General features: G+C 48.9%; 1 protein-coding gene across 1 annotated transcript in view, besides 2 other annotated features; it reads right to left on the bottom strand.

Annotated features, from left to right (window-relative positions):
- Positions 1-19695, bottom strand: part of AHNAK (AHNAK nucleoprotein) — a 113263-nt gene that overhangs the window by 62630 nt on the left and 30938 nt on the right. The window lies entirely within an intron of this gene.
- Positions 9490-10237: an enhancer, noted in NCBI's record as "H3K4me1 hESC enhancer chr11:62273135-62273882 (GRCh37/hg19 assembly coordinates)". NCBI's record gives its function as "activates a minimal SCP1, AML or CMV promoter by ChIP-STARR-seq in naive H9 embryonic stem cells {active_cell/tissue: H9 hESC(naive)}" and the evidence as "EXISTENCE:reporter gene assay evidence [ECO:0000049][PMID:30033119]".
- Positions 12384-12678: a silencer, noted in NCBI's record as "tiled region #266; K562 Repressive non-DNase unmatched - State 5:Enh". NCBI's record gives its function as "represses a minimal TATA promoter and a strong SV40 promoter by Sharpr-MPRA in K562 cells {active_cell/tissue: K562}" and the evidence as "EXISTENCE:reporter gene assay evidence [ECO:0000049][PMID:27701403]".

Genomic DNA, 19695 nt, shown 5'->3' on the forward strand with positions numbered 1-19695 from the left:
AAAATGAAACAATCAAATCATTAAGTAAATGGTTTTCTGATACAAATACAAAATTAATCTGAAACCATTAAAACAAGTCACACTGCCTTAAAAGTCCTAGGCTCCCTCTGAAAAGTGAACTTCAGGAAAAAGCCATTATGAAATCTAGCCATCCTAGGTGCTGTTGCAATTCAATCACTAGAGATTAATATTAAGATACTCTATGAGTCTAAACTGTACGGAAATCATCAAGCAGGGAGAAGGAAAATCTTGTTAGTAACAAAGAACTATGCCTAGAGAAAATTCTCAGGGAGAAAAATTCTTCCACAGCCACCACTCTGATGTAATCTTGAAAGCAGGTTGGCCGGGAGCGGTGGCTCACACCTGTAATCCCAGCACTTTGGGAGGCCGAGGCGGGCAGATCACAAGGTCAGGAGTTCGAGACCAGCCTGATCAACATAGTGAAACCCTGTCTCTACTAAAAGTACAAAAGTTAGCCGGGCGTGGTGGCGCGTGCCTGTAGTCCCAGCTACTCGGTAGGCTGAGGCAGGAGAATTGCTTGAACCCGGGAGGCGGCAGTTGCAGTGAGCCGAGATCGCATCACTGCACTCCAGCCTGAGCAGCAGAGGGAGGGAGACTCCATCTCAAGAAAGAAAGAAAGAAAGAAAAAGAAGAAAGAAAGGAAGGAAGGAAGAAAGGAAGGAAAAGGAAGGAAGAAGGGAGGGAGGGAAGGAAGGAAGGAAAGAAAGAAAGAAAAGAAAACAGAGGTTGAGAAAAATAGAAGAGCAAATGACATTAAGGTGTGGGTGGGAGAAGAAAATTGCCAAGGAATTAAATGGTATAAAATATAAAGTGTTCTTAAAGCTTTTCCTTTTAAAATGTACTTATCTGTGGAAAATATTATACTGAGTGATGCGTGGGCCTTGAAAAGATTAAGGCTGGATCCAGACTGCGGTATCATTCCTGAGGTACAAGGAAAAGGTTTGAAGATGGGCCTGATATCATCAAAGCCAAGCACAGGTCAAAACCAACAACTGCTAAAGTGTTCTGAGCTGATCAAAGGAGGAATCCAAAGGCCAGTGCACCATGCAGCCTGGGACTGAATGATTGGCATTGTCATCTCGTCATTCCAGGACATGACCACTATGTGGCAGGAAAGGATGTGGCAGAAGGGCAGGCTATGGCACCAAACAACTCCTTGAAGCCACTCAAGAAAACAGAGGATAAGGAAGGGAAGGGGGAGGTCACTCCCCTGAGGCCCTCCAAGGCCCCAGACTCTCCCATTTCATATCTAAAAGTCATGGTGAAATGGGTGGAGAAAAGTGATACACAACCATTCCTATCAAAAAAGGTGGAGACATGATTACGCCCTTTATGTAAAACAGTTACTAAGTAACAGAAGACATAGCATTAAATAGCATCATTACGACATATCTGATTATGTTACTAGTGTGAATCACTCACAATTTCCTGTCCAAGAGAGAGCTGAAATTTTTATTCTAACAAGATCATAGAAACTGGTAATAGGCCAGGCGCGGTGGTTCACACCTGTAATCCCAGCACTTCGGGAGGCTGAGGCAGGCAGATAACCTGAGGTGAGGAGTTCAAGACCAGCTGGGCCAAAATGACGAAACTCCATCTCTAGTAAAAATACAAAACAATTTTGCCAGGCGTGGTGGCACGCCCCTGTAATCCCAGCTACTCAGGAGGCTGAGGCAGGAGAATCGCTTGAACCTGGGAAGCAGAGGTTGCAGTGAGCCGAGACTGAGCCACTGCACTCCAGCCTGGGTGACAGAGGGGAGACTTCATCTCAAAAAAAAAAAAAGTAAACACTGGAAATGACTTAAAAGTCCATCAATAGAGGAATTGTCAAATATGCAATATATCTATGCTGCACAATATTTCACAATGAAAAGAACGAGGTAGGTCTGTTTTCACCTACATGGAACATCTCCAAAACGTTAAGAGGGGAAAAAGGAAACTGCAAAACAGCACAGTCCAATCTTATTTATGGTTTTATGGGTTTTGTTGTTGTGGTTGTTGTGTCGTTGCTAACCCACAAAACTCTAGGCTTCTATGTTAACATACAGACTTGTCCAAATGCATTGAGCAAAGTCTACAGGGCACATGCCAAGATGAAGCTAATGGTTATCACTAAGAAGGAGCACGCAAGTGTGTTTGGAACAAGGGGAATTTCTCTTGTATTGTTTTAATTTTTTACAAAATGAATGGCATACTAAGATTACACTAAATGTAATTATAATTACACTATATAGTGTAATTATAATTACACTATATGGTGTAATTAAAAATTGAATCTTTGGGGCCAGACATAGTGGCTCATGCCTATAATCCCAGTGCTTTAGAAGGCCAAGGTGGGAGGATCGCTTGAGGCCAGAAGTTTGAGAGCAGCACGTGAGCAACATAGTGAACCCAGACTCACTCTAAAAAAAAAAAAAAAAGAAATTTTTTTTTATTAGCTGGGCATGGAAGCTGTGCCTTTAGTAAGAGCTACTCAGAAAGCTGAGGTGGGAGGATCTCTTGAGTCCAGGAGTTCAAGGTTGCAGTGAGCTGTGATCATGCCAGTGCACTCCAGCCTGAGTGACAGAGCAAGGCCCTTCTCTAAAAAAAATAAAATAAAAACAAAAAACAAAATAAATAGATCTTTGGAAATGTTGGCTCTAAAAATTTCCACCTGTCCAACAGAATATTCATTAGGATTGAAAGTACTTTACCAGCTGTGATTACTTCAACAAGGGGAGGTTCATTATTCAACAAATATTTATTGAGCATCTACTGTGGGCCAGGCACTGTTCTAGACTCTGGGGATATATTAAAAATCCCTGCCTTCATGGAGCCTATATTCCAGCGGACTTTATGGCCTCTCTTCCGCCTCGCTTCTCCCACTTCCTTTGGTGGGAGTGGTCTCTGGAAGACAGGCATGGGCATGGGGAGATAAAATATGCCCGGAGGCAGGGGCATGACGTAGATGAACTCTGACCATGTCTTCTAGGCCTGGGAAAGAGGAAAAGATAGAAAGGGTTTAAGGCTTTAGTGCAGACCCATAGCATCCGACTGGCCTCTCACTAAACATCCTCTGTATCTGTTCAAACCTGCCAGGCGCAGTGGCTTATGCCTGTAATCCCAGCACTTTGGGAGGCCGAGGCGGGTGGATCACCTGAGGTCGGGAGTTCGAGACCAGCCTGACCAACATGGCGAAACCCAGTCTCTACTAAAAATACAAAAAAATTAACTGGGCATGGTATCGTGTGCCTGTAATCTCAGCTATTCGGGAGACTGAGGCAAGAGAATCGCTTGAACCCGGGAGGCGGAGGTTGTAGTGAGCCAAGATCGCACCACAGCACTCCAGCCTGGGCAACAGAGCAAGACTCCATCTCAAAAAAACAAAAAACCAGCCGCACAAGTTGAGCTGTCGGCAGCTGCGCAGCTCCTAGCCACTCCTCCATCTCCTGGAGACTGTGAACCAAGCCACAAAGGGGAAAGGGGTGTGGCCGAGTGCTGGTGGGGCTTAGGAGCTCCTGGCTCCTCTGGGATGCCAATGAGACTTCCCTTCTGGCATGAGGCCACGTAGAATGATGATGGCTGAGAGTGCAGCAGTAGGAGGACAGAGGATAGCTGGTAAAGGGAAAGTGAGTAAGTGGAAGGAAGTCCATGTAAGAGCTAACTGTGCTCCATCTGGGCCAAAATGGGGAGATCACATCTCCCTTCAGGCGTCATCTGACACCAGACCAAGGCTCAGCCAAGCTTTTCTGTGCTGGAAAGCCAGAAGCCAGGAAGGAGAGCCTGCTGCTCCTGGGTGCCCTCACTTTCCAGTCCTCTGCTCCTCTGTCCCCCACACCAGACTACCTGGCTCCAGCTTGCTTCTTGTCTAAGCTGAACAGAATAGAGAAGAGGGCAGGTGAAATGCCTCAAGACAGGCCTGGCATGAAAAAGTGGAACTTAGTTTGTGGCTTACCCAAGAGATTAAACATAGTCTAGTTGTATCCACGCAATTAAGATGGGAAGGTTAAGGATCCTGTATTCCAGATCAATCTGCACTCACAAAACGAGGACCGTAGTAAACGCAAAGGAATGACTCAATAGTAGCGAAATTCAGACATCCTTGACAAGCCAGTAGGGGAGATATTTCAGGCTAGGGCAGCCTCACCTGAGGCCTTCAAATCATACTATAAAGGTACCTGGCTGCCCCACCTGAGCCCAGCCTAGCCAGCTTCCCAGCTATGTCAGTTCACACAGGTGCTAGAAGGCTGGGGTAATCTGATTGGCCCAGAGAGTCATGTGTGCTACAGAACACTACCTTCGTTAACGATCAGAGTCAGGTTTGAACCTGTTCCTCCCAAACCTACGTGCTGTCCCTCAGAGAGCCCGATGATGACACACAGGGCGTGGTATGTGGCTCCGAACCTCCCCAGTGACTTAAAAAATCCAAGTGGGTTTTAAATTGCTGCTCCCAGTTGATCATACCAGAAATCGAGCTATAGAACCGCCTCAACATCATTTTTTTTCTCCCACTTTGAGCTAAGTGAACAAACTGGGAGATTTCTGCCTCACCACTTTACATAGTAAATAATCCTTTCATCTCCCCTTTGGCTGGGAAGAGCTTACTCTGTGTGGACAGGGAACCAGCAGAAGCCTCTATGTCAGCTGAGTTTTGAACAAGGCAGCGTTGAGCTGGGAATGCTCACTATCAAGTTTTTTCCCCCTTGACAACTGGATGTGGACATTGCTCAGACATACTGTATCACATTAAAACATACAATTCTGGCCAGGCACAGTGGCTCACATCTGTAATCCTAACACTTTGGGAGGCTGAGATGGGAGAATTGCTTGAACCCAAGAGTTCGAGACCAGCCTGGGCAACATAGTGAAACACCATCTCTACAAAAAAAAATCAAAAACACAAAACAAATTAGTCAGGCGTGGTGGCACTTGGGAGGTTGAGGTGGGAGGATTTCTTGAGCCCAGAAGGTGGAGTGGCAGATGGCACCACTGCTTTCCAGCCTGGGGGTCAGAGTGAGACCCCATCCAAAAAAAAAAAACAATTTTATCCCTGCCTTTCAAAGGGATTTCCAGTCTCAATGCCTCAAATTCTACATTCTAGAAGAACTTTGCCTGCCAGGCACGGTGGCTCACGCCTGTAATCCCAACACTTGGGGAGGCCAAAGTGGGTGGATCATGAGGTCAGGAGATTGAGACCATCCTGGCCAACGTGATGAAATTCCATCTCTACTAAAATACAAAAAATTAGCCAGGCAGGGTAGTGCATACTTGTAGTCCCAGCTACTCAGGAGGCTGAGGCAGGGGAATTGCTTGAACCCGGGAGGTGGAGGTTGCAGTGAGCCGAGATCGCGCCACTGCACTTCAGCCTGATGACAAAGCAAAACTCCATCTCAAAAAAATAAAATAAAAGAACTTTGTCAAACCCTGAGAGAAATAAATGCACTTGCCAAACCCCAGCATGATGTGAGCACTTTGCTCTCCAGATGCCACAAATACTCTACTGCGCTCACATGTCAATATATCACAGCCAAGTGCTGCCCAGCAAATACACAGGGCTTTGTCTCATTCTGCAGCGCTGGACGCTGGCCACGGAGCCACTGTTGCTGTGTCTGTCAGGCTCAAAGAGAGCGGTGGGGCAGGCAGGGGGCATGGGGCAGTTCGCTGCAAAGACAAAGCCAGCCCCGCATTGCTGCAGGTGGGAAACACAACCCTCCACATCCCAGCCAGGCTTTCCAGGTCAAAAAATTCTCTAGGAAGGAAGGGAAGGAGAACAAAAGAATAATCAAAAGCCACACTTCCTAGACTTAAGCAGTGAGAGACGTTTCAGATGCCAGCCACCCATTTCGGACCAAACTGGGCAGATTTGGGGTGTCTTCTCCTCTTCCACACCCGAGCACTCCTTCACTCCCTCTTCCTCAACTTCCTGCCCCAAGCAACACCCTTTTTGCCGTTCTTGCCACCCCACCTTTCTTGGGCTTCAGGTCCTCGACTTCAGAGTCTCCAAGCTTTTCCTCTGCCTCCTTTCCCACCCCAGCAGGGCAGTCCTGGGGGCTGGAATGGTGTCAATTTGAGAAGTTTGCCAGCCAACAGGGCACAGAATTTAGCTGAATTCACACTCAGCAGCTCAAGGAAAGCAGCCAAAGTGCAAAACTTCAGCAACCGTTTATTAGAGAATGTTTATTTTGTTTTGTTCTTTAACTTTTGTTTGTTTTTACCCTAAGTACAGGCTAAAACCTGAGAGATCAAGAAACTAAACAGTAATTGACAGAAGGAAAATTGGAGCACCAGTCGCTGAGGGGAAGTGTATGAAGTGATCGGTTAGTGATAAGATGGCTTATCAAGTTTCTGCCACGTGCCATGTGCCTGGCCGTGTGCTGGAGACATAATGATGGACAAGCATACTACTTCTCACTCACAGAGCTGACAGTCCGGAGCAAGAGGCAGACAGACAAGCCATTGGCCACTAATATTTTAATATGAATAGTGCTAAGAACAAAAAAGTACAGAGCAACATGAATGCGTGAGATAGCTGGGGAAGATGGGGAGTATCCAGGAAGGCTTCCAGGAGGAAATGACCTCTGAGCTGAAACCCAAAGGATGAGGAAGAAAAGCCTGCATGAAAGCCAGGTGCTGGAAAGAGAAGAGTATGTTAAAAGAGTACTGGGAAGAGCTGAGTGTGGCTGCAGAGGCCGGCTTGAGACTGCAGAGGCTGACAGTAGCTAAGTCAAAAGCAGAGACCACCAAGTGCTCCCTGGGCATTGGCTGGAGTATGAAAAGGCTGAGACATGTAGTGTTCGGAGCCACCTCCAAGACCTTTTTTTCCCTGTGTGAACCTATGTACAGTTCACGCTGGCTTACTGAAGCATTTCTGTCCAACTTTTAATTCTCCATATTCCGTGAGAGTTCAGCAAATGCTCATAAATACAAAACAATCAACAGTCCAATCCATGTCAGAGTAGAGTGAGTGGGGGACACGCCCTGACTCCCATGTTTTTTCCTGTCCTTATTTCTGCCACCAGCAAAGCCCAATCAAAGGTTGTCCACGATTACATAACCAGGCATGGCAAGTAAGCCTCAGCGGACACACAGGATCTGACCACTTCCCCTTCGGAAACTGTAAAACAACGAAAGTGGGCTGGGCACGGTGGCTCACGCCTGTAATCCCAGCACTTTGGGAGGCCAAGGCGGGGGGATCCTGGGTAAGGAGTTCGAGACCAGCCTGGCCAACATGGTGAAACCCTGTCTCTACTAAAAGAAAAATTAGCCGGGCATGGTGGCGGGCGCCTGTAATCTCAGCTATTCAAGAGGCTGAGGCAGGAGAATCACCTGAACCCAGGAGGCAGAGGTTGCAGTGAGCCAAGACCGTGTCATTGCACTCCAGCCTGGACAACAAAGCAAGACTCCATCTCAAAAAAAAAAAAGAAAAAGAAAAAAAAAGTGAGTGTTTGCAGAACATGCAGAGTGGCCTTTTTACCTGGGTTGCCGGCAAGGTCTGGACTCACCATCCAGTGGCAAGAACCCGATTAATCCAAGGTGTTTATTTCCTTTTGATAAACAGTAACATGTGATTTTCCATTTTTAGACACAATAATTACTTCAAACTAAGAGCAGTCACCAAAATCAGTACTTAGAGGGAGTGGTTTTCCTTCATAAGAGGGCAGCAGCTCAGTTTAAAAAATAACTTCTTTTAAAGTCCCTGCCTCCAGGCCGGGCGTGGTGGCTTATGCCTGTAATGCCTGCACTTTGGGAGGCCGAGGCGGGTGGATCACCTGAGGTCAGGAGTTCCAGACCAGCCTGGCCAACATGGTGAAACCCCATCTCTACTAAAAATACAAAAATTAGCCAGGCATGGTGGTGCGCACCTGTAATCCCAGCTACTAGGGAGGTTGAGGCAGGAGAATTGCTTGAACTCAGGAGGTGGAGGTTGCAGTGAGCCAAGATCACACCACTGCACTCCAACCTAGGCAACAGAACAAGACTCTATCTCAAAAACAGAAAGAGAGAGAGAGAGAAAGAAAAAGAAAGAAAGAAAGAGAGAGAGAGAAAGAAAGAGAGTCTTAGATATGATTCAAGAGACACGCAATTTTTGGAAAAACATGATGTTTAAATAGCGTGAAGGACAAAAAGCCTAGCATCCCTGCCAGGCCCCCCAGCAAATTTACCCAGAGCTTATCCCACCTGGGGCTCCTCCCTCCTGCAGCTAAATTCCTAGAATTTATTTTCTAGGAATTTTTCTAGGAATTTAGACAATCCGCACTGGCTGCCTCCACTCTCTCATCTGACTTCCCTATCTGGCTGAAGGGCCCACTTGAAATTCAAGTTGTGAGCCGAACTTGCAATCTTACAAATAGAAAATGCCCTGGCGTTATTCTTGCCTGCCTGCTCACATTCCAGCCCTCCCCACCGCCTGGCCACCGAAGACAGAGGACAGAGGCGTGGTTGGCAGCCACGCGCCCTTGAGGAGACCACACACCTAGGTAAACACTGGCTGGAAAGACCCAAGGTTGTCAAAAGCCTCCCCTTTCACCTGGCTGGGGCTGGGGAACCTTAAGGCCAAAACTCCTCCACATAGGGGTCAAGCGCCCCTGCCCCACCCCCTACCCTGCCCCCTGCAGCCCAGCATCCAGAGGATGTCAGGAGCTCCCAGAGGAGAAAGCAAGGCGGTACCACGCTGTTTGTGAGGATGGGCTAAAAGGCTCTGCCGTTTCAAAATGCCCTAAGCTGGCCTGCTGATGGGCCTGAAATAACCACGTGAGAGACCCATCCCTCAGGGTCTAAAAGCTCTCTTTTTAAATGTAAAGTTTCAAAAGCAATAACATATATGACGCTGACACTCTCCAGGACCTTAGTTTCTCAGGGTACAAAGCTGTCATTTGAAGGAAGTCTGGATAAAGGGGAAAGCGCGCAATGAAAGGCCAGTGTTTGGGCATTGGGGACCCACTAGGGTAAGGGGTGAGGTCCCGTGGCCACCCCTTGGGAGGTGTATACCTGGTCTCAGCAGCTTCCCGACAGCCCCCCAGGGTCTTCTTTCCCACTTGCTCGCCCCGTCTTTGCTCCCCTCTGTGTCCCACGCCTCCAACCCAGTCTGCGGGCACATGGCTCACAGCAACCCCAGGGGATAAAAATCTGCCTAGCAACGGGTCATGAGGCCCAAATATGGCCTGGCGATTGACAGTTCGGCCAATGGGGTGTGGCCACAGATGCTCTCTAGAGACCAGGGTCTCATGCCCTTGATTCTGAGGGCCCCGGGCTTGCTGGATGGGGGTTCACCAGGTATCATCCCGTTTCTGGTTGGAGCAAGGGACCTTGCCTCGCTATTGAAAGCGCGCTGCTTTACTTCGATTGTAGGTTTGTTTGGAGTGCCAGGAGGGATTTATGGAGACAGGGAGCGGGGCTAAAGTCCCCTCGAAGTCACCCTTTGGCACTGTCCTTTCTCCCTGTGAGTCCTCTCCCTCTTTTTCTTTCCTTCCCGCTCCACGCCCTTCAACGCTCCCTGCCGCTCATTGCAAGCCGCCGCCCTTCCCTCCCCCTCGACCTAGGGCTTTGCTCCTCCCCTGCTGCCTCCCCCGACACACCTCCCCCTACTCTCCACCCGCCCCCAGCAGGACCCCTGGCCACACTGTCAGCCTCTGCCCATCCCGGGCTCTTTCTCTCGTTTCCCCCCTTAGTTTTCTGCTTGCTTTCTTCTTCTCCAGCTCCCCATAATCTCCGGAATGAAGAGCAAGCGGTCCGGGCCGGGTGCGGTGGCTCATGTCTGTAATCCCGGCACTTCCGCAGGCCAAGGCAGGAGGATCGCTGGAGCCCAGCCTGGGCAAAATAGCAAGACCCCCTGTCTCTACCAAAAAAAAAAAAAAAAAAAAAAAGGCGGGGGTGGGGGGATGGTTAACAAGCTGGGCATGGTGGCGCACGCCGGTAGTTCCAGCTACTCGGTAGGCTGAGGTGGGAGGATGGCTTGAGCCCAGGATGTCCAGGCTGTGGTGAGCCATGATCACGCCACAGCACTCCAGCCTGGGCAACAGAGCGAGACCCTGTCTAAAAATAAATAAATAATAATAAGTAAATAAATAAATATTAAAAAAAAAAGAGCCAGTGGTCTGAGCTTGAGGACGCCCGAGTTCCTTCCCCTTGGAAGGGTGTCGGGGTTTGTGGGGTCGGGGGAGCTGCTGCATCCCACCCAGGAGGCCAGGAAGACTGAGATCCTTCTACTCACACCACAGATTGTTGGCAGGTTCTCACTTCGGGCTAAAATCAGCCTCGCCCTGCAGCCAAGCAGGGCCGGCAGGTGAGGAGATACAGGGGAAACTGTCAGGGGCAGGAGCAACTTTGTTCCACCCAAAATTCCTCCCTGCAGCCCCCTTGCATTTTCAGGTTCTCCCCCCAGACAGGAGGCTCAGCCCCTCAGGGCCCCAGCTGGCCAGAGGGTTGTGCCTGGCCTGCATTTTCCTAGCTGCAGGGCAGCAGGACGCCATGGGCTTAGCCAGGGCTGGGGGCCTTCCAGGCTGTGTGGGCCGGGTGGTCTGGGACCAGTGGGTGGGGCTCGTTACAATTCAGATGATTTGATCATAGTTTCTCCCTTGTTTATTATTATAGTGGAAGAGTGAAGACTCAGGAGAGGAAGGACCCAGGGTGGCCCGGGGCAGGAGAGCCTCGGGAGGGACTGACAGCAGCCAGGAGGCTGAGCCTGAACCCTAAACCCTACTCCCTCCTCCCCAAAATGGGCAAATGGGTGTATGTCCCAGTTTTTTCCTTTCATGGCTGGACCTGAAACCAGCCAAGCTGCCTGGCTTTCAGGTTTCATTCTGAGTTCGTCCCCCTTCTCTTGCTCCCTGGCCTGACCCTGCTAAACCTCCCACGCACACATCTCCACTTCCACACTTTTATTCCCCGGTCCTTCTGCCTGGAATTCCCTCCCCCCACTCCTCTCCAAACCTTGAAATAGTTATACACTGTTATTAACAGTCTTCCTGGTACCAGAGCAAGCAGAATGCTATTAAAAGCATGGGCTTTTCAGTCAGCACAGACCCCCGTGTGAATCCTGACTCTGCTGTTTGCTAGCTGTGTGACCTTGGACATCCTGCTTAACTTCTCTGAGCCTCAGTTTCTTTGTCTGTTAAATGAAAAAAATAATACCCACCTCATGTGGTTGTTGTGGAAATGAAAAGAGAGAAAGCATGTAAAATACATACACAATGCCTCACACAAACTAAGAGTATATAAGAATAGCTAACACAGTATTTACTATATGCTGACCACATTATGTTAATTTAAATCATCCTCCCAACAAAGCTGTGAGAGAAGAACCATATCATCCCTGTTTTATAGATTTAAAAAACAGGGCTGGGGATGCGGGCTCACACCTGTAATCCCAGCACTTTGGGAGGCCAAGGCGGGCAGATCACTTGAGGTCAGGAGTTTGAGACCAGCCTGACCAACATGGCAAAACCCCGTCTCTACTAAAAATACAAAAATTAGCTGGGCGTGGTGGGCACGCCTGTAGTCCCAGCTACTCAGGAAGCCGAGGCAGGAGAATCCAGGAGGCAGAGGTTGCAGTAAGCTGAGATGGCACCACTGCACTCCAGACTGGGCGACAGAGACTCCGTCTCAAAAAAATAAAAAACAAAAAACAAAAAACTGAGGCACAATGAGGTTTGATAACTTGCCCAAGGTCACGCAGCTAGGAAATAGCAGAACTGATAACTGATATTATTATTATTCCCCTACTGGATGGTAGGCTCATTGAAGAAAGGGGCTTTGCACATAATAATGGGGGTTTTTTAATTTGTTTTTTGAGACTGGGTCTCGCTCTGTCATTCTGACTGGAGTGCAATGGCACAATCACAGCTCACTGCAGCCTTGAATTCCTGGCCTCAAGTGATCCTCCTGCCTCGGCCTCCCAAAGCATTGGGATTACAGGAGTGAGCTATTGTGCTGGGCCATAATAACTTTAATAACTACTTTCGACAATGTTAAAAAGTCCGAGTTCAAGTCCCTGCAAATTTCAAGAGGCATCCTCTATTTCCTAAAATTCCCCCAGAAAAGAAATTCCCAGCTTCTTCAGGGAAACGGCAGTGACATCACAGGGAAGAAAAAAAAAATTCTTTTTTTAATCAGAAAGCTTGGATCGATTTTGGCCAAGTCACCTCTTCCCAACTCTATGAGTTGAGACCAATCGCTTCGCTTTTCCGAGCCTCACCTTTCTGGTTTGTAAGATAGGGTCAGCAAATGCCAGAGCTGCCTGCTTGCCTGGGCGGAGCTGAGAACGCAGTGTGAGATCTCAAGAGATAAAGCACTCTGTGGACTAGAACGCCCTGTCCAAAGAGAAGGCCTTTTCATTCGTAACCCTTTCCCATCCTTGGCCCCACTACTGGGAAGTTTTTCCATTAGGGCCAAGCCTCAAGCGTGTGGTGGAAAATAACAGAGGCATTTAAAGGGAAATGAAACTGCCCTCCTCAGCAGAATGTTCCCTACACATTTGCTGTGGCCCATGGCAGCGCCTCTGCTGGGCGCCTTCAGCCTTAGGAAGCACCAGCGGCTGCCTGACGCCACGGGGCAATTCAGAGGCTGGTAAACAGCACATGGCATTCCCGGCCCGTGGCAGGCATTCATGCATGGAATTCTTTGTCCTCGTGAGGAAAGACAGAGAGCTGCTCTGTGCTGCAAAGCTCAAAGCCAGAACTCCACTTTCAAAACTCCCAGCCCGAGATCACGCCAAGGCTAAGCATGCCACCAACCCCTTAAAGTGTGCTTGTGAGATAAACTTGCCCAAACTTGGACTTTTATCTTGAAAACTTGGGTTTCCTTGTTAATTCCAATGAGGAGTCATGGCAACGTTACAATGGAGAAACTTAGCAATCTCCTACTTAACCAAGGAATTGAAATTAACATACCCATCATGTGCCTCCTGACACGAGGCACCAAAAAGGACCCAATATCACTTCTGTGGAATTCCTGCCCCAAAATGTATAACCTGAACCCAATCATGAGGAAATATCATCAGACAAACCCAGATTGAGGGACATTTCTAGAAAACTGGTCCCACACACTTCAAAAATATCAGTGCCATGCATGACAAAAAAAAAACTGAGAAACTATTACAGATTAAAGAAATAAACAGCCGGGCACGGTGGCTCACGCCTGTAATTCCAGCACTTTGGGAGGCCAAGGTGGGTGGATCACTTGAGGTCAGGAGTTCGAGACCAGCCCTGTCTCTACTAAAAATACAAAAAATTAGCTGGGTGTGGTGGCAGGTGCCTGTAATCCCAGCTATTCAGGAGGCTGAGGCAGGAGAATCACTTGAACTCGGGAGGCAGAGGTTGCAGTGAGTCGAGATCACACCATTGCACTCCAGCCTGGGTGACAAGAGTGAAACTCCGTCTCAAAAAAAAAAGAAAGAAAGAAAGAGACCAAGACAACTAAACATCATGTGAGGTCATCAACAATTGAACCCCAAAGAGGAAAAAAAGACATTGTCGCCGGGCATGGTCGCAAATCCCAGCACTTTGGGAGGCTGAGGCAGGCAGGTCCCTTGAGGCCAGGAGCTCAAGACCAGCCTGGCCAACATGGCGAAACCCCGTCTCTACTAAAAAATACAAAAATTAGCCAGGTGTGGTGGCGGGCGCTAGTAATCCCAGCCACTCAGGAGGCTAAGACAGGAGAATCGCCTGAACCTAGGAGGTGGAGGTTGCAGTGAGCTAAGATCGCACCACTACACTCCAACCTGGCAGACAGAGCAAGACTCTGACTCAAAACAAACAAAAAAAGACATTACTGTAAAGACAGTTACTGGGGCAACTGGTGAAATTTAAAGATATACTACATATTAGATAATATGTCAATGTTTTGTTTCCTGAATTTAATTATTGTATTGGAGTTTTGTTTGTTTGTTTGTTTGTTTGTTTGTTTGAGACGGAGTCTCACTCTGTCGCCCAGGCTGGAGTGCAATGGCACAGTCTCAGCTCACTGCAACCTCCACCTCCCCCGGGTTCAAGAGATTCTCCTGCCTCAGCCTCCTGAGTAGCTGCCACCACACCCGGCTAATTTTTTGTATTTTTAGTAGAGATGGGGTTTCACTATGTTGGCCAGGCTGGTCTGGAACTTCCTGACCTCAAGATCCACCCGCCTCAGCCTCCCAAAGTGCTGGAATTACAGGCGTGAGCCACTGCGCCCGCCCTCTATTGGAGTTATATAAAAGAATGCCCATACATGCTGAAGTATTTATGGGTAAAGGATCATGATGTCTGTAATTTACTCTCAAATGATTCAGCAAAAGTAATGATAACACCTATATGAGCCAGGTGCGGTGGCTCATGCCTGTAATCCCAGCACTTTGGGAGGCCAAGGCAGGTGGATTACCTGAGGTCAGGAGTTCGAGTCCAGCCTGGCTAACATGGTGAAACCCTGTCTCTACTAAAAATACAAAAATTAGGCAGGCATGATGGCACAAACCTGTAATCCCAGCTACTTGGGAGGCTGAGACAGGAGAATTGCTTGAGCCCAGGAGGTGGAGGTTGTGGTGAGCCAAGAGTATGCCACTTCACTCCAGCCTGGGCAACAGAATGAGATTCTGTCCCAAACAAACAAACAAAAAAACCATATATATATATATGTATATGTAGAGAGACAGAGAGAGATTAAAGCAAACAAAGTAAATGTTAGCAATTGGTGAATCCAACTGAAAGCTATATGAATATTCATTGTATTATTCTTGCAACTTCTCGGTAGATTTGCATTCAAAATAAATACACTTTAAAAAAAAAGAAATTTCAGGTACACAATTAGCTGCATCTCCCACATAATGTTTTTTAATGTCACAGCTAATGCAAAATACCAAAGAGCTAAGGTGGCACTCTGAAGCAGGACATGTATATAAGCAACATGCAAAGTCCTCATGGGTGATGCACTTTTGCTTTGGGGTGCTGGAGACATAGCAATATTTCAACAGTGCAGCCTTTGCTCAAAACATTTGAGACAACTTCCCAACCACACAGGAAAGTTAGTCACACACATAATCACGCCTTGCTTTTGACCCCAAACAACCCACCCACCTAATTAACCAGGCTTGTTTTTTGTTTTTTTTTTTTTGCTTGTTTGTTTGTTTTGAGACGAGTCTCGCTCTGTCCCCCAGGCTGGACTGCAGTAGCATGATCTCAGCTCACTGCAGCCTCTGTCTCCCAGGTTCAAATGATTCTCCTGCCTCAGCCACCAGAGTAGCTGGAATTACAGGCATGTGCCACCACGTCCAGCTAATTTTTATATATTTTTTAGTAGAGACGGGGTATCGCCATGTTGGCCAGGCTGGTCTCAAACTCCTGACCTCAAGTGATCCACCCACCTCGACCTCCCAAAGTGCTGGGATTATAGGCATGAGCCACCGCGTCCGGCCCAGCAGTAGATTTTTTACAGAAGTAAGTGTAGAGCTTCCCGAGGTGACCACTGAAAGCAGAATTGCCATTGGGACATATGTGTGCTTCTTTAAGAAAAAACTGTAGCATTACTTTATGATCATACCTTAAATTCTAGTTTAAGAAACCTCGATGTATAAAAATTCAAACTTATCAAACAGAAAAAACGAGAGACAGAGTCTTGCTTTGTCTGCCAGGCTGGAATGCAGGCTTAAGTGATTCTCCTGCCTCAGCCTCCTGAGTAGCTGGGACTACAGGCGAGTGCCACACCGGGCTAGTTTGTTTCTTTTCTGAGATGGAGTCTTGCTCTGTCACCCAGGCTGGAGTGCCGTGGCACAATCTTGGTTCACTGCAACCTCCACCTCCCGGGTTCAAGCAATTCTCCTGCCTCAGCCTCCCAAGTAACTGGGATTACAGGTGCGCACCACCACGCCCAGCTAATTTTGTATTTTAGTAGAGATGGGATTTCACCATGTTGCCCAGGCTGGTCTCAAACTCCCGAGCCCAGGCAATCCACCTGCCTCGGCCTCCCAACGTGTTAGGATTACAGGCGTGAGCCACTGCACCTGGCCTTGTCCTGGTTATTCTCTATCTGTTCCCTCCACCTTCAGACCCCTGCTCCTGCTTCTCTGCCCGACTCTGTGCCCCAGGAGGTGGATCAGCTGCAACACCTGGGCTCCCGTGCCCTCCAGTGGAGAGAGGGGTCAGGGTGTTCCTCCCTGCTTCACACGGCAGGCAGTTCTGGCAGATGCTGGTCCTCTATGGCTATAGTCCCCACTGAGGATTCCTCCTCTACCTCCAGTGCACGCTGGACTTCAGGAACACCACTTCTTCCTCATATCCTTCAGGGCCAGGGATAGTACCAGCTTCCTACTGCCCCTGGGGGTCTCACCACCCCTTGTGGCCTCCTTTGCCCCTGCCCACTACTCCATAAACTGTCTCTTTATTAGGTCTCTCTGATTGAACTATCTTCAAATGGAACTAAGTTTGCGAGAGGGAACCTGACAGATAGAGAAATGAGTGTGAGTTTATGAAAATTATTCCCTGGGCTAAGCGCGGTGGCTCATGCTTGTAATCCCAGCACTTTGGGAGGCCAAGGAGGGAGTGATTGATTGAGCTCAGGAGTTTGAGACTAGCCTGGGCAACATGGTGAAACCCCGTCTCTACAAAAAATACAAAAATTAGCCCGGTGTGGTGGTTGAGCTTGAGAGGTGGAGGTTGCAATGAGCTGAGAACGTGCCACTGCACTCCAGCCTGGGTGACAGAGCAAGATCCTGTTAGGAAGAAGGAAGGAAGGGAGGGAGGGAGGGAGGGAGGGAGGAAGGGAAGGAAGAAGGCAAGGGAGGAAGGAAGGAAGGGAGGGAGGGAGGAAGGAAGGAAAGGAGGAACTGTTCACTATTCCCTGCCATTTGTGAGCCCATGGTGTAATTCAAAATAATTCTGTTTTCCCAGATGCCCCCTTAACTACACCACTGTCCACACACAGTCACACTGCCTAAAGCGAGGCTGACCTTGAGACTGCAGTCCTTGCAATTGCTCCTTGCTGAACTCTGGGAAAGAACATCACAGAGTCCAGCCCCTTCCCAGTCTCCTGACGCTGCTCTCACCCTCGAGTGCAGGAACCAGGACCTTAGAGTGTCAGACCTTGCAAGGCTGGTTCCTGCAAGACTTTAGGGGATAGGCCGGGCGCCATGGCTCACGCCTGTAATCCCAACACTTTGGGAGACCAAGGTAGGCAGATCACGAGGTCAGGAGTTCGAGACCAGCATGGCCAACATGGCAAAACCCCATCTCTACTAAAAATACAAAAATTAGCCAGGTATGGTGGCAGGCGCCTTTAATCCCAGCTACTCAGGAGGCTGAGGCAGAAGAATCTCTTGAACCCGGGAGGCGGAGTTTGCAGTGAGCCAAATTCACACCATTGCACTCCAGCCTGGGCAACAAGAGCGAGACTCTGTCTCAAAAATAAAAAAAAAAAAAGACTTTAGGGGATAACTTGGACCACCCCATCAGGAACTGAGGGAGGGCAGGGGTAAGGTGCATGGGCAGGGCGAGGGAGCTGGGGTGCGCCCTCCACACACCACATAAGCCCGTGTCTCCTCCCATGCCGTCGCTGCTGTGGTAACCATCACTGCGGGAAGCAGCGTTCATGTTCTGTGGCCACTGCCTCCAGCCCAGACCTGACATTGAGAAGAAGGTGGCTAGAAGACTCTCAAGTTTGTACAGCTAGTTGCCTTGTCCCTTCTCCATCCTACCCACCACCCACTGACTGTCCCACCCAATGAGATCACTGGCCTCGCCATCCCTGGTACATGCATGATTTCCACGGGTTTATTGCCAGGGCTCAAGGCATTCCAGTTTTTCACACCCATCACATCATTCACTCTGTGGAGATCCTCAGAAGAGGAATCTGAGATCAGTGGGACTGGGACACATCTAGCCACGTGGGACTCAGAAAACATTTATTGAATGGACACTGGGGGCCACCACTAGCCTTCATCACTTCTTCCTAAAGTTAAAAAAAAATTTAATTGATATATTATTGGACAGCCTGGGTAGTTCTCCTCAGAGGACTTTCCAGCATCCTAATGGGCATTCCTCCCTAGCTGTGTACACAAGTGCACCCCACTGTCGCACACTCACCCCACCGTCACCCACTTACCCCACCCTCCAGACACCAGGGCTACTTATCTCAAGCGGCATGCACACTCTGACCTGCCCCACACTCTTGGCTTCAGAGTTGAGGAAGGAACAGGAGATGGGTTTTGAGCTGTGGTTGGTTGAGTGAAAGCAGCACCCCGGGGACAGCCCCAGGCCCAGTTAGGACAGACGGTGATGTGTGCAGTTGTGTGCATCATTGAACCTGAGCATGCTCACGGCTGGAGTGTGCGTGTAGCCCAGTGCAGCAGGGGGTTTCTGTAGAAGATGGGCTCATGCCTGTCTCTCTAGGATTTCATGCCAACTCTTGTGCTCTCCATAAGTATGTATCTGGCTGTCACATGGATGCTGCACACTTCAGTGTGGTGCCATCATGCAATGCATAACCCCAATACCTGGACGAACTCTGGCCCTATGAATGCTGCTATCCCAATTTTAAGGGTGATGAAACTGAGCCTCAAGCAGGTTAAGCATCCTGTCCAACTCACGAAAGAAGCTGTAGGTCGGTCATCTAAAACGCAGCCGGGTATCAAGGGCCTCCCTCCCAACCTATCTCTTTCCAAATCCATGGGCCACCCTTGAGCTCCAAAACCCCCAGAACACTGGCTCTGCTGGCCACGGTGAGGACAGATGAAGCTAGGGAAGGCATGAGATCCCACTGACAAGCTGGTACTAAACAGGGAAGGATGGGGTGGGAGCTATTTTATCTCTGTTCTGGGGGGATCCAGAGAGGTGCAGAGCTGCCTCCACTGGCAGAAATGGGGCATCTCTAAGGAATGGCGAGGGGGACAAGCTTGGTCCAAGTATAAGAAAGCATCACCCTCTGCCCAGCAATGACCAACATTAGGAGCCAGTGACTAGAACCACTCCTCCCCCACCCCCACATACTGTCAACAGAGCTGGAAATCAAAAGGGGACTTTGGTCAGAAGACTTTTCCATAATGTTTAGCCCTAAAATGGACTAGAAAGAACCACAGAGATAACTTACACAAGATCAGCACCCTGGCCGGGCGCAGTGGCTCATGCCTGTAATCCCAGTACTTTGGGAGGCCAAGGCGGGTGGATCACTGGAGGTCAGGAGTTTGAGACCAGCCTGGCCAACATGGTGAAACTTCGTCTCTACTAAATATAAAAATTAGCCAGGCGTAGAGGCAAGGGCCTGTAATCCCAGCTACTCGGGAGGCTGAGGCAGGAAAATCGCTTGAACCCAGGAGGAGGAGGTTGCAGTGAGCCAAGATTGTGCCACTGCACTCCAGCCTGGGCAACAGCGGTTACTCAGCAAACCTGCAGCCATGTCAGGAATAAATGGCAGAGCGGTGATTCACAAGCAGAGCCCTTTCGGTAATTCCAGGAGGCCTTTTAACTGTTCACATCTGTAACCCATTTAGAACCAATTCTGAATTGTATATTCATATGTGAGGATGCAAAGTAGGTGAGTGGGTCCCGAGGCCAAGCCTCTTCTTGATTTCTCAGCAATGGCACAACCAGCCTCACCATGAGAATCAAGAAGCAAAGATTTTCTCCCACTACCTCCCGAAGGTCACTGTCTTAAAGTCACTGATGAAACTAGCAATGCCACCAGATGGATCCGGTCTGAACACTCACAGCTGGCTGTGCAGCTTCCCCAGGTTTCACG

Source organism: Homo sapiens, chromosome 11, assembly GCF_000001405.40.
Source record: "Homo sapiens chromosome 11, GRCh38.p14 Primary Assembly".
NCBI lineage: Eukaryota > Metazoa > Chordata > Mammalia > Primates > Hominidae > Homo > Homo sapiens.